The sequence below is a fragment of the Homo sapiens genome, chromosome 7, assembly GCF_000001405.40.
Source record: "Homo sapiens chromosome 7, GRCh38.p14 Primary Assembly".
NCBI lineage: Eukaryota > Metazoa > Chordata > Mammalia > Primates > Hominidae > Homo > Homo sapiens.
The window spans coordinates 153,872,890-153,888,308 of NC_000007.14; the positions used below are offsets into that span (position 1 = coordinate 153,872,890).

General features: G+C 41.7%; 1 protein-coding gene across 8 annotated transcripts in view, besides 1 other annotated feature; it reads left to right on the top strand.

Annotated features, from left to right (window-relative positions):
• DPP6 (dipeptidyl peptidase like 6) overlaps window positions 1-15,419 on the top strand; it is a 1,146,153-nt gene that overhangs the window by 124,757 nt on the left and 1,005,977 nt on the right. For 2 of the 8 annotated variants that reach the window (NR_157195.2, NM_001364501.2), the window contains exon 1: window positions 14,153-14,845. The exons of 5 other annotated variants lie outside the window; for them this stretch is intronic. Coding sequence is in view for 2 of the 3 variants with exons in the window: in NM_001364501.2 (NP_001351430.1) it covers window positions 14,795-14,845 (51 nt within the window). In the remaining variant the exon portion in view is untranslated. Of the gene's footprint in view, window positions 1-14,152; window positions 14,846-15,419 lie in introns of those variants that run through there. One more of the 8 variants, NM_001039350.3, reaches the window with a different exon arrangement.
• Window positions 13,225-13,726: an enhancer, noted in NCBI's record as "H3K4me1 hESC enhancer chr7:153583199-153583700 (GRCh37/hg19 assembly coordinates)". NCBI's record gives its function as "activates a minimal SCP1, AML or CMV promoter by ChIP-STARR-seq in naive and primed H9 embryonic stem cells {active_cell/tissue: H9 hESC(naive and primed)}" and the evidence as "EXISTENCE:reporter gene assay evidence [ECO:0000049][PMID:30033119]".

The following is a 15,419-nucleotide window of genomic DNA, read 5'->3' on the forward strand; positions in this document are numbered from 1 at the left end:
TTGAACTTTTATTGTACCTTATCATACTCTACAGCTAGATGGCTGTCTTTAGTCCATTTTGCACTGCTACAAAGAAATACCTGAAGCTGGGCAATTTATAAGGAAAAGAGTTTTATTGGGCTCACAGTGCCCAGGCTGTACAAGTAGCATGGAGCCAGCATCTGCTTCTGGTGAGGCCTCAGGCTGCTTCCACTCATGGTGAAAGGTGGAGGGAAGCTGGTGTGTGGCAATCACGTGGTGAGGAAGAACACAAAGCAGAGGGGGAGGTGCCAGGCTCTTTTTAACAACCGGCTCCCATGGGAATCATGTGTGAGAACTCACTCACTGCCCCCCACCAAGGAGGGCATCAATCTTTTCACCAGGCATCTGCCCTCATGACACAAACACCTCTCATTAAGCCCCACCTCCAACACTGGAGATCAAATTGCAACATGAGATTTGGAGGGGCCAAAACAAACCAAAAGATAGCAATGTCTCTGGCATTTAAACAATATATTTAAACTATATTTGGCCACTTAAAACTACGTTTGAGGCCTACCTAATTTAAAACGAATGAAAATAGACAATAATTCTACCCTTATAATGCCTAAAATCTAGTTGCGGAGATTTAAAAAAAATTCTAACCGTTCCATAAATAAACATAACTTTGCAACTTTGGCAAATAATACAAAATAGAATTACACAGAATTGTGAGAGCTTTTAAAAGATGGTTTATTCTCGACAGGAAAGTCTGGAGGGGCTTCCTTGTGAACAGGTGAATGGATGAACAGTCATTAACCTGGTAAAGCAGGGACCAGTGATGGGGAGCTCTGCCTTCGGAAATGGAAGACTGCTGTTACAGAACAAATCCGCTATCAGGAACATCCAGAAAAGGTCAAAGGCACTGCAGAGCTGCCAAGGAAGTGAGGACTTGTGTCTTCATGTCCAAAAGATGGAAGAACAGAGAGGTAGAGAAATATAGGGGTGGCATTCACTCATTTGCACAAGGCAGCTGACAGGTTGTGGATTTCTATAGACTTGGGGTCTAAAAGTAGAAGTCCTGAGAAACACACTAGAGTTTGAATTGGAATCCCCAAAGGCTACACACTAGAAAAAAAGAATTAGAGATGGAATTTTCCTCAGGACGAAAGCCCAGACTGTAAAGATGTTAACCCTTGTCTAAATTAAGAATATTTGCCTTCTTCCTAACTACCTGCCAGAAGCAAAAGTGAATCCACTCTGGAGGAAGACAAAGCATCTAGAGCTTCAAATTATCTGCACACCTAGTATTGGAAATATGAAGTATTGAGCCAAAAATTACCAAGAAAGAACAAAATAATTGAACAAAGAGCAACAGCAACACATAAGCGCGCGTGCGCACATGCACACACACACACACACACACACACACAGACACACACACCAGAATAACAGAAGAACCAGAAAGAACTTATTAGATATGGACTTTAGCATGTTTGTAAAACTAAATCATAAAATACAGAGTTATTATTATTTATTTATTTTTGAGAGGGAGTCTTGCTCTGTGGCCCAGGCTGGAGTGCAGTGGTAGGATCTCAGCTTGCTGCAACCTCCACCTGCCGGGTTCAAGCGATTCTCCTGTCTCAGCCTCCCAAGTAGCTGGGATTGCAGGTGTGTGCCACTGTGCCCAGCTAATTTTTGTATTTTTAGTAAAGACAGCATTTCACTGCGTTGGCCAGGCTTGTCTCAAACTGCTGACCTCAAGTGATCCACCCACCTAGGCCTCCCAGAGTGCTGGGATTACAGGTGTGAGCCACTGTGTCTGGCCCAAAATGTAGAATTATACCATGAAATGGAAACCATTTAAAATCAAATGGGCATATTAGAATGGAAACAAAATAAGATATGAAATTAAGAACTCAATGAATGGATTTAACAACCATTTAACACAGCTGAACAGAAGAAAAGGGAGCAAACAAAAAAATTCAATATCTGGTTACAAGTAGAAAAATGTAGAAAACAGTGTAACATGCATAATAGATGTTGGAAACCTCTAGTATAGGTGTAATTAAAGTTGCAGAAGGAGAAGACGGAGAGAATAGAAAGGGAACTGTTACAGATGAGATCATTTCAAAAGTAACGGAAAAATCCAACAGATATTAGCTGCTGTATGAACTTCAGATAGATTACAACAAACAGACAAAATGTACCTAAGGATATCATAATAAAATTTCTGAAAACTGAAGACAAGAGGAAGTCTAAAAAGCAGTCAGAGACAAAACATATGTTATCTTTAAGGGGAAATAGAAATACTAATAATGACTGTATAAGAGTGCAAGTCAGAAGATGGAGACATGACATTGTCAAGTGCGGAATGAAAATAAATGCCAAAATAGAACTCCATATGCTCTAAAGTTCTTCTTCAAAACAAAGGAAAAATATAAGGACATTTTTTTGAAAAACAAAAACCTAGGAAATTTGTCAAACTTCCAGTAAAGGAATGACTGAGAGAACTCTTCATGCAAAAAAACATAATCACAGATGAAAATAGATGACTTAAGAAGAGAAGAATGGAAAAGATAAATGTGTGGCTATGTCCAAGGGAATATTGATTGTACAAAACAATGATTAGAAAAAAATACCTATATAAATCTTGATAAATAATAGCACAAAAGACAGGACTTTGTTAAATAATATTTGATTACTCAAAGTTCCTTATTACCTGGAGAATTGTAGATATATTAATTAATGCAACTATCAACTAATTGAAATTAATATGATTATCAATATAAGATTCTAATTAAGAATATATTTTGAATTTATGGGGTAAACACTGAAAGAATAATAATTGTTTAATAACAGGCTAATTTGAAGAAGATTTATCAATAAACATAATTAACTCAAAAGAGGAAAAACGGGACAAACAGAATTAGTAAGATTGATTGGAATGCCAATGTGTCAGTGATTGCATTAATGCAAATGGATTGAATACTCAGATTAAAAGGCAAAATTGTCAGACTGAATTAGCAAATAAAGACAGGCAGCTCACAAAAAAAGCTGCCTAAAATATGAGGACCAAAAAAAAAAAAAAACCCTGAAAAAAAGAGAGTAAGTTGAATACATGCAAGCAGTAGGCAAAATAAAATTGGCATATATAATTTTGCAAATGACACTGAAAGGCAAGAAATGACACATTTCTAAATATAAATAGTGTCATTGCATTAGGATTAAAGGGTCTATCTGACAAGAATTTATAATCTTAGACTGGTATGCACCTAATAATATAGCTTCAAAATATATAAAGCAAAAATTAACAGAATTAAGGAGGAAAATAGACAAATCTACAATCTTAGATTTTACCATACCTCTCTGAGAAACTGAAAGAACATCCAAGAAAAAAAATCAATAAGGATGTAGTAGATTTGAAAATCACAATGAGCTAACTTGATCTAGTTGAAAAATACAGAAATACTACATCTGTCATTTCAGAATATACATCATATTCTATCCAATATGTATATGCATTGCCCAAATTGACCGTATGTTTGAAAACAAATCACACACACACACACACACACACAGTATCACCAAGTATAGGGATTGAAATTCTGAGTATTTTTTCTCTAACTATAGTGAGATTAAGCTAAAAGTTAATATTAAAAATATACCTCAAACATCTTTAAATATTTGTAAATTATTTCTAAACAACTCATTGGCCAAAAATAAAAATTACAAAGGAAATTAAAAGTGCCAATTTTATAACCTAACATCTCAATAATTTACCCAATAGAACAGCAAATAACACACAGTCACACATTGCTTAATGACAGGATACTTTATGAACCCAACATTCAGTGATGTTAGTCATTGTGTAAACATCAAAGAGTGTACTTACATGAATATAGAGGGTACAGCCTCCTACACACTTAGCCTATATGGCATAGCTCCTATACTACAAACCTGTACAGCATGTTGCTGGACTGAATACCTAATTTTACTGTACCTTTTCTATGTTTAGATATGCCATGGTAAGTAGTTGTATATCTAAACATAGAAAAGGTAAAGTAAAATTATGGCATAAGAAATAAATAATGTTACATCTGTACAGGGAACTTACCATAAATGGAGCTTCTGTAACTTAGAGTTGCTCTGAGTGAGTCTGGGAGTGAGTGGTGAGTGAATGTGAAGGTCTAGGACATTACTGTACACTACTGTAGACTTTCCCAACACTTTACACTTAGGCTATACTAAATTTGTAAAAACAAAAACTAAAACTAAAACAAAAAAAACCCTTTTCTTTTTTCAATAATATGTTAACGTTAGCCTACTGTAACTTTTTTACTTTCTAACATTTTGAGTTTTTAAAAAATTATTTGATTCTTTTGCAATCACACTTACCTTAAGACACAAATAATACAATCATACAGATATTTTCTTTATATTCTTATCTATATGCTTTTATCTATTTTCAAATTTCTTATTTCATTTGTTACTTTTTAAACTTTTTGCTAAAAATTAAGACACACACACAATTTTGTGTTTATTATTATCAAACATTATGTACCATACATAATTGTATCGCTATACTTTTAAACAAGCGGTAGTGCAATAGGTTTGTTCACACCAGCATCACCAAAAACTCGTGAGAACTGCATTGTGCTATGGTGTTAGGACAATGATGATGTCACTAGGAACAGGAATTTTTCGGCTTCATTATAATCTGGGACTACTGTGGTATATGTGGTCTGTCATATGTTGACTGAAATGTTATGTCATGCATGATTGCATAAAGAAAGTAGGAAAAAATAGTACGTATGACCAATCTTATTAATTAAATTGATAAAAAGTGCATGACACAACTCAAAAAGCTAAAAGTTGTTTTTCAAGCAAATAATTAAATAGGTAAACACCAGGGAAGATTGAATTTTTAAAAATCAAGTATTACCCTATTCCAAATGAAAAAGAACATCATTTTAATGGAAACCAAAAAGAAGAAGTATTTGCAATGCTTATTAACTGACAAAGGACTCATATCCTGGATATATTAAAAGGTTTGACAAATAAAGATATTAAAAGTCCTGGACACTACAAATGACAAATGGGCAAAAACATTAACACGCACGTCACAAAAGAAAATATCCAAATTACTAAGAAACATATAAAAGCTTTCCTTTTCACTGTCATTAGTTTTTGAGGCAATGCAAGATACCCGTATACCGTCATCAGAAATGTTACTCAAAAGTGAAATAAAACAAAATATAACCTGACAATATCAAATGGTAAGAAGAATGTGAAGCAACAGGTCACTCACATCCTACTTGTGTGGGAGTAATTTTGTGCAGCCTCTGTTTATCAGGTTACACAAGGCTGAATACACACATTCTAATAAATCTACTAAGGCTAAACATATACCTTCTAATAAATCTATCAAGTTTCTAGATATATAGCCTTCAGAAATTCTTACATGTGTAAATCAAGACTGTAATGAGAATGGTCATAACATCATTATTTATGTTAGTGCCTATCCAAGCAAAAAAAAAAAATCCAAATTGACTCAACAATAGCATGGATTGATTATGAAATGTTCATACCATGGAATGCCATGCAGTGATGGAAGCTGACTACAGCTACATACAATATCTCCGAGTCTCCCAAGGGAGACAGAGTGAAAGAAGCCATTCACATTGATTCCATTTATATGGAGTTCAGAAGTCTCCCCAGCTAACTAGCGTTAGAAGTCAGGATAGTGATTTTCTCAGGGGAGAAATGGGATTGTAACTAGAAGAATGCACCAAGAAATCTTTTGAGACACCGCTTATCTTGTATGTCTTCATCTGGTTGTGATTACATGGATGTATGCACTTTGAGATAAGTTATTAAGTTGTAGACTTATGACTTAGGCACTTCTCTCTAAATGTCGTACTTCAACAAGATGTTTTGGTTTGTTTTTACATTAAAAGACAGAAGGAAGAGGAGAGTATTTAAGGTAAAGAAAATAGCACGAAAAAATCTCTGTGCAGGAATTAAGTGTGTACCAAGATTGAATAAAGCCATGTGAATGGAGTACAGAGGTAAAGAAATAAAGATAAAGAGAGGAGGAGGGGAGATGGGAAAAAAGGAAGGAGGAAAGGAGAAAGAAAAGACAACAGAAAAAGAAAAAAAATGAAGCTGGAAAAGTAAGTAATGGCGGCCCCTCTCCAAGGTCCAGAAACTTGGATACTTCCCTAATAGCAGTGAACGCCAGAGAAGGGGTTTAGCTGTGGAGAGTGTGGTGATGTGATGAGATTTGTACTTCAGATATCTCTAGATGAATGCACTGGAGAAGGGAAAAAAGTAGATGTGAGTGGATGAAAAAAGAATGAACAGCAGTTGTCCAGCAGAGAGAAGTGTTCGTTACCTGGGTCTGAGTGTTGGTGGTAGGGAAGCTGCAGGAATGTATAATTGTGTGGATGCTGGGGGTAGAGGGAGAGGGAGCTATGCTTAAAATACCAGCCCAAGCTTTTCTAACTCCAAAATATCTTTTATTTATTTGTTTCTTTCTTTCTTTCTTTTTTTATTTTGAGATGGAGTCTCGCTGTGCCACCCAGGCTGGAGTGCAGCAGTGCCATCTCAGCTCACTGCAACCTCTGCCTCCTAGGTTCAAGCAATTCTCCTGTCTCAGCCTCCCGAGTAGCTGGGACTGCAGGTGCACGCCACCACAGCTGGCTAATTTTTGTATTTTAAGTAGAGGCAGGGTTTCACCACATTGGTCAGGCTGGTCTTGAACTCCTGACCTCAGGTGAACCACCTGCGTCGGCCCTCAAAGTGCTGGGATTACAGGCATGAGTCACTGTGCCTGGTCCAAAATATCTCTTAAAAAGTCATTTAACCACGTGTTTCTCTTTTCTATAACTCGTTGTAAACAATGAATTCCTATATTTAATAGTGATGTCCTTTTTGTATTCTAGTTTAATAACACTATTTCATGGGTTAATTGTTTTAATAGGAATTTCCTAGTCGATATAGTTTTATTTATTACCTCATTGGAGGAAGAGTTTTATACATATTTTATAGAGGTGGGCCCAAAAGTCCCCGCTATGTTGGTAGACACATAATAATTAAATTTTAAAAAGCTATGGCCTTCTAAATTTTTCTTTCTTTTGAAATAAATATATACAGATTTTTGACTTATTTATCAACAATTGTGCCATCTTATAGGAAAATTAACAAGGTTCATTTATGAATGTGTCACAAAACTGCTTTTCTTGAACTGCTGATGTTTGAATATTATAATTTTATGCCATCTGTGATATGAGCATTTGTTACATATAAGTTCTATCATAAGCAAACTAAAATCACTCCCTTTGTTTAAATGTGTTTAGTAAGTCTATTGCTTTCAGTTTATAAGTGTTTGACCATTGCTCTTCTATAAAAGACTCTACAAGAACTCTAAAATATATACTGTGCTTCACTGATTCTGTAAAATAGATATGTAAAGTAATTTCACATTGTTCAAAGATACTAGGAATCACATACACTTAACTGCTTATATTTTCCAATACTTTGCTTAGTTACAAAGTTTCTGTATAAAGATATTCTCATGTATAAAAGAGCCCAACAATTGTTTTGTACTTCTTACACTTCCTTAAGATAGTATTTAATACCAACAAAATACTGCTTGAGTCAGGAGGCCTTAATCAATTTGTTAGAGTAGGAAACTGAAGAGTTAAAATAGTTGTGGTATTGGCCTACACCGACATGTGACGTGAGACATGGCTGTGGATATGACATCCAGGCTCCATCCTCTGTTCCTCCTCTTGGAAATTCGGTCTGTAGCCTAACACATTTGTTAATGCACAGAGACAAGTATGTGGGGAGAAAAGACACACTGAGCTGGATACCTGTGTATTTTGGTTCATACCTGAGATGAACCTGAAATACAGTCTATTACCTGAAATAGAAGACCAACGTGTTGTAATGAATTTAGTCTGAATTATCTCATTCCTGGGAGGTTCCTGTTAAATTGAGCAAGTGCGAGATAGAGATGAACATAAATCATTTCTTTCACTCTTAGTCTACTCTGGCAAAGTGAAACATTGCCAAAGATAACAGTCTTTTAATTAATTTTGGAGGTTGGTTTATGTATACCCTTGGAATTTCTTGGATACATGCTTCATTAATAGGCCAATATGCCTAGGTTTAAAGAAGATATTTATTTTAAAATTTAATATGTCGATTCTTAGTTGAAAGTATAGTGGAAGAGGCAGCAGCATAAATATCCTCTCATTTATTGCTTCGTTTGTTCGAGAAACATGAATTGAACAACCTACTACTCATCAGTCAGTGTGAAAGTAGGAGGACTCAAAGAAGAACATGCAGGCATAGGCCTTCAAGTTGGGATGCAAAGGCAGCCGTGCCAATAAGTAAATATGTGTGATAAGTTGTTAGATGTGCAATTCTAGCTATAAGATGATTGATTTAATGGCCAACATAGCCCTTGTAATATAACATTAGCACTGAGGTGAGATTAAATTCCGTTTCCATCTCTTGGTTGCAAAGGGTCAGTGGGGAAATGGGTCATCTGTGAGCAGGGTTGATATTGGACTTAATAGTTTTGCATGGATGATCTATAAATGGCTCTTCTCTAATCCTTACTACCTACCCAAATGATATCCTTATTATTCCAACCCAAAATTAGTGCAGGAGCTTCCTAGCTGCCTTGCCTGTCCCTGTCTCCCTGCTTTGGAGGGTGGATTTGATTTTAAAGTATGGATCATGCTATATCAATGTCTACCTGGGGGCCTTGGCTGCGACATTCCTGTTTTTGTAGGACACGGCTCACATGGCTCTCACTGCTGGTCTCCACATGTCCTTCCACCCTCATTTCCATCACCCAGCTCTGCTTCCAGGTGATAGTGTACTGAACTACTCAGGCCATCCCTCTGCAGGCATTCATTTTCCCTGGCTCCAGGTCCTAATGGCTAAATTTGTATTGCTCCTATAAAATGTATTTCAGCTGTCATCACTTGCTTTAGCTTTCTTTCATATTTGCCTAAAGACCCCAGGAGCCCTGCCATCTGTATTCCTGTATCATATTTGTACAATTATTTTTGTTGTTGTCCATATTGTTAATTTGCATATCACCCACCAGACACCGTGAGATCCTCAAGGACAGGGACTGTTTTCTATAATAAAATCTATCACATGTCATCAAGCTTGGCATATCATTAGTCTCTCAACATATTTTAAGTTAATTTGTCTAATTTCTGAATGATTGAGAGAAGCTAAAAACATTGGTTATATGCTTTCTCCAAACGATTATTATCATACCTGTGTGATTTGTAAAATAAATGCCGACCCATCTCATACTTTTTCTAGTAGATATCTTCCTGAAAATTTATGGGTAAATTAAATCATGTGAAATGAATAATGTCTTCAGTGAAATAGGACAGCTCACATTTTAAAGAACATCAGTAATGAACTAATCTGTGTAAAAGAATAGTTTTAGTCTCTTTTCTTATGTCACGTTGACTGTCGCTTTTACAAATTGGGAATTTTACAGGTTGAGTTGCCTTATGTTGGGGTTCCTCTAGGTAAAGGTATTCATGCAGTTAAACTTCTAGTAATAAGCAACAAGAAAATAACACTGATAAAGTGACATGAGGAATCTGCTCCTGTGCTGTAACTATTTCCTGATGTCAAATGTGAAACTGAACATTTTGCCAAAAGTCTCAACTTAAATCAAAGCCACTTTAATCAAAGCAGTTGCTAATGCCAGCAGTACATAAATTGAGGATGGAGCAAAAGGATCGACACCACCAATGGCTGCATTGTGATAGGTGTGGACAGAGCCTGCCAGAATTAAACACATGCCAGGAGTCAACACTAGGCAAAGGTAAATGGGATAGGTGCTGTGAAACATGGCAGATCCTATGGGACTTAGGTGCTCCCAAACATGGCAGACCCTATGGGGCTTAGGTGCTGAAAAACACGGCAGATTCTATGGGGCTTAGGTGCTGTGAAACATGGCAGCTTCTATGGGATTTAGGTGCTGTGAAACACGGAAGATTCCATGGGGCTTAGGTGCTATGGAACAGGGCAGATTCTATGTGACCAAACCTAACAGAAACAGTGCGGTGAGAATCGTAAGATAAACATGCTATTCCTGTGATCTGGGTGAACAAACAAACAAAAACAGGAAATACAACTGCAAAACCTAGACAGAGAAGAGCCAAAACTGTTGATAAATATAGGACCACCTTCGCATCCCCGTTTGCGAAAATGTTGATAAATATAGGACCACCTTCGCATCCCTGTTTGTGAAACTGTTGATAAATATAGGACCACCTTCACATCCCTGTTTGTGAATGCAATAGCACAAGAAAAAGTCATTTTGAGGATGGGATAGGGAATGAACTTCTGATGGTAATGCTGTCTTCAAATGGTTCCGAATTGAATTTTATCAGAAATTTAAATACCCAAAATTAATATAGAAATTGAGAACCATCTTATGTTAAGCACTTTTTCCTTACACTTACTTTCCTTCTTTTCCTTTTTTTTGTTCTTTTTTTTTGAGACAGAGTTTCGCTCTTGTTGCCCAGGCCGGAGTGCAATGGCACAATCTCGGCTCACCACAACCTCCGCCTCCCGGGTTCAAGCAATTCTGCCTCAGCCTCCTGAGTAGCTTGGATTACAGGTGTCCACCACCATGCCCAGCTAATTTTTGTAATTTTAGTAGAGACGGGATTTTACCATGTTGGCCAGGCTGGTCTTGAACTCCTGACCTCAGGTGGTCCACCCGCCTCGGCCTCCCAAAGTGCTGGGATTATAGGCGTGAGCCACCGCACCTGGACCTGTCTTTCTTACAGAGACCTCTTAGCCTCATTCTTTTCCTCTCCAGTATTCCATATGGCAGTGGCTCAAGGTAGACACGTTGCAAAGAATGAACAGGCATTACCTGGATATTCAGGATTGCTTTGCTGTTTTATTCTGTGCAGTGTTTCCTTTTATGCCTGCTTTTCAGCCCTATCCTTTCTGCAGGGCTCTGGGTCACAAGCTGGGCAGGAGGAGCAGAACACAGCGCCTCTAACAAGTAGCAGGACTGGACGCTGTTGGTTAAGTGTTAGGAGAAAATGTGTCTGCTAATAGGGTTATTTGTTTCTTTTTTTGGGGGAATTTTTATTTTTTATTTTTTATATATAAACTTTAAGTTCTAGGGTACATGTGCACAACGTGCAGGTTTGTTACATATGTACACATGTGCCATGTTGGTGTACTGCACCCATTAACTCGTCATTTACATTAGGTATATCTCCTAATGCTATCCCTCCCCAATTCCCGCACCCCACAACAGGCCCCAGTGTGTGATGTTCCCCTTCCTGTGACCAAGTGTTCTCATTGTTCAGTTCCCACCTATGAGTGAAAACATGCGTTGTTTGGTTTTTTGTCCTCGCAATAGTTTGCTGAGAATGATGGTTTCCAGCTTCATCCATGTCCCTACAAAGGACATGAACTCATCGTTTTTTATGGCTGCATAGTATTCCATGGTGTATATGTGCCACATTTTCTTAATCCAGTCTATCATGTTGGACATTTGGGTTGTGGGACTGTAAACTAGTTCAACCATTGTGGAAGACAGTATGGCGATTCCTCAGGGATCTAGAACTAGAAATACCATTTGACCCAGCCATCCCATTACTGGGTATATACCCAAAGGAATATAAATCATGCTGCTATAAAGACACATGCACACATATGTTTATTGTGGTTGTTTCTTAACATAAAGGTTTAATCCGTATGATTCCACTTCTGATTTCCAGGGATAATTTGAAGGAAACTATAAAAATAGAAGGTTAAAAAATATGTTTGTCGGCCGGGCGCAGTGGCTCACGCCTGTAATTCCAGCACTTTGGGGAGGCCGAGGTGGGCAGGTCCTCTGAGGTCAGGAGTTTGGGACCAGCATGACCAATATGGTGAAACCCCGTCTCTATTAAAAATACAAAAATTAGCTGGGCGTGGTGGTGGGCACCTGTAGTCCCAGCTACTTGGGAGGCTGAGGCAGGAGAATCACTTGAACCTGGGAGGCGGAGGTTGCAGTGAGCCGAGATCACGCCACTGGACTCCAGCCTAGTGACAAAGCAAGACTCCGTCTCAAAACAAAAATATATATATATATATATATATATATATATATATGTTTGTCTTCTTGATTTTTCCTCTCCTCCATCATGTGGTGATGGGATGGGAAAAGGCAGGTTGTGGGGAGCAGTTTGGAGGCCCATGCTTGGTGGGAAAGAGAGGGAGGAAAATTCTAGATGAACGAATGCCGCTTCAAAGGAAGAAGCAAAAGAACCATATTAACCCTGCTTACAATCGGATTTAGATTGGTGATATATTCTGTCCACACTCAACTGGGTTTATCCTGACATTCAACAGTGTAAGTGACCTGTACTCTAAGTGTTCCCTTCTTGAGAAAAGGTGTGATTGAGCAGCCTGCTGTTGTCTGAATTTTTGTCTCTCCCTTTTCCAGAATTCATATGTGAAACCTAACCCCAGGGTGATGGTGTTAGGGGCTGAGGACTTTGGGAGGTGATGAGGTGATGAGGGAGGAGCCATCACCCTGATAAAAGGGACCCCAGAGAGGTGCCTTTCCTCACACCATGTGATGCACACTGAGAAGGCGCCATCTGTGAACCAGAAATCAGATTCTCACCACACAAAGCATCTGCTTGCACCTTGGTCTTGGACTTCCAGCCTCCAGAACTGTGAGAAATAAATTCCTGTTGTTTATAACCCACGCATTTTACACTATTTTGTTATCACAGCCAGAAGACAGTAAGACAAATCCCAACAGAGAAGAGTGCTTCTAGAACCTAAAGTGCACCTACCACTTTCTAGCAAAGCCTGATCCACATTACTTTAAAAGTGACTTTTCAAGCATTTTGCTTTGGTTTACCTATTTCTTCCACTTACCTCTCTCAAGCCCAAATCATTAGTTTACACTTGTAACCAATTGCTCGTGCACATGTCCTAATGTTTTTGAATATACATATATTAATACATAATGTATCATTCGTGTTTGCATGTGGGCATTGTGGATAACTTACATGTAATTACAGTTGCAATTACTTAGAATCATCTACTTCTTCATGAGCTCGAAAGTGACCTCTTATTCTTTTTTACAAACGGAGATTTTTTTGTGAATGTAAATAATGGAAAAGCTTCCCAAACCCCTCCCAGACTCCAGCTCCCGCCATGCCCTTCCCCTCAGGCGCTGGCACGCCCTTACACACACACACACACACACACACACACACACACACACACAGCCTGATGTGTCTATCAGCTCTGAATCTGGTTTTTCAAGTGGCTTGGGTGGGTCTGCATATGAATTTGACCAACCTCTGCGCGCGCTCCTGGGAGCGCGCATCTGTGTGTGGTCCAGGGAGCCAACCGCGTTTGTGAATGGATGATTGATGGGAACAGCGCCCAGGGGCAGCAGGTGGAGACGGGAACCCAGGTCGCGGTCACTGGTCAACCCGCCTCTTGGGGTGGAGGTTAGAGAAATGGGCGCTGGGATTTGGCCCCGGCCAGTGCTGGGGTTCCAGGGTAGGGAGAGCCGTGGGCGCCAGACTGGGCTGCGGGAGGTCTTCGGGGTCAGATCCCGCAGGCAGCCAAGAGCGAGCCAAAGAAACAAAGCCGCCGAGGGACGCGGCTGGGGCGGAGGCCCGGAGGGAAGTGGAGGCCGGGAAGCCAGGTGTGCGGCGGGGAGAGCGGCCCCTGCCACCCGCGCTGGTAGCCGGGCGCTGCCATTCACTGCAAGGTCCTCTGCGCCCTGGAATTGCCGCGGCGGCGGATGCAGAGGCCAACCCAGAGTGCAACCATGGAGACGCGACGTGTGTCCCATAGTAACCTGTTACAACATTATTTATAAGCTGCCATCCCTAGCCTTCCCCCGCTTCCCCTCCGCTCCCTCGCCAGACTTGCGGGCGACGGGCACAGCCGCGTCTGGCTCTTCCCGGCCTCTCCCTTCTCTCGCGGGCGCAGCCGATCAATAGTTAACACCCGGCTGCGGACGGCGGCTCCATCCGCGGCAATCACCGTAGTGCTTGTTTGTGGAAGCCGAGCGTGCGTGCGCCGCGCGCGCACCCAGTCCAGCGCGGAGTGGGCGTCTACCCGAGGAGGGGTGTCTGGGGAGGGGCTGCCCTCGTTACCCAAACAGTTTGCGCTCGCTTAACCTTGATGCAGCTCGAGGCTTCCCAGTCCAGCTCAGTTCAGACAGAAAACCTGGCGCGCGCGCGCGCACACACACACGCCTCCCCTGGCGTCGCCGCCCGGCCGGGTCCCTGCCCTTAGGGACCAGAGCGGCGACCGCTGCACCCCGCACCGCCTGCTGGAGGAGCCCCCGGAGCCGGGGCCGAGCCGCCGGCGTCCCCGAGTGCGCCCCCTGTGCGTGCCGCCGCGCTGTTGCTCGCAGTGTGCTGGCGCCGAGCTCGGTGGACACGCGCGCAGTCAGAGCTGCCTCTCGCCCTCGCTAGCTGGGCTCGCAGCCTCTTCCTCCCTCCCTGGCTCCTGGCTTTTTGTTTAAAGCAACACCCACCCTCCATCCAGGCTTTTTTTCTTTCTTTCTTTATTGGTAGCGGCCAAAAAGAGTTGATTGCTATTGGGATCCGCTGAGTAAAGACACGGGCAGGGGTGCGCGGAGGTGAGAAAACTGAAGACCTGGAAGATTTTTTTTTCCTTCAAAAACCCGTTTCCATCCAGTCTTCAGCCAGTCCAGTCTACTTTAATCCTCACCAGGACAATGGATTAAGTTTCTCTTCCCTGGACCAGAAGTCGGGTTCGGACTTGGGGCAAAATGAAGGAAAAGGCCATGATCAAGACCGCTAAGATGCAGGGGAACGTGATGGTGAGTGCCACGGACAGGGCGCGCGCTGGGTCGGGGGGACCCACCGTGAGGAGCGATGCTGGGGGAGGTCTGTCCTTCTCAGTCCCGAACCTCCCTGGAAGGACAGCGACCCCATGCCCGCGCGCGGCGGCGCTTCTCCCACTTCCCACCCGAGCCCACCCAGCGGCAGGGGGATGCGGAGGAGCAGGCATTTCTTTGCAAATTGCAACTTTGCGGCTCCGCGGCCCCTCTCCTTCGGGCATGTGGCTTTGTGTTTTGGGCGCGGGATGGGAGGAAGGGGCTGCGGGGAGCCCTCGCTGACCGCGGGTCGGTCCGAGCCCCAAGCAGACCCCCAGGGCTCTTCTGGGGAAACGCGGGGAGAGGTGGTCACTTCGGCCAGGGAAGGGCCACTGGGCCCTGGCGCCCGCGCCGGCCTCGGTGCTCCGAGTCCCCGGAACTCGAGACCTGTTGGGTCTGCGGAGCCTTCGGTGCTCTCGGGGCAGGCGCCAGTCGCTCCGCTCCGTTCCAGACGCCGCCGCCGGGCGGGACCCTGCTCCCTGGATTGGGGACGCTGACTCCCCCAAAAGCTTGACTG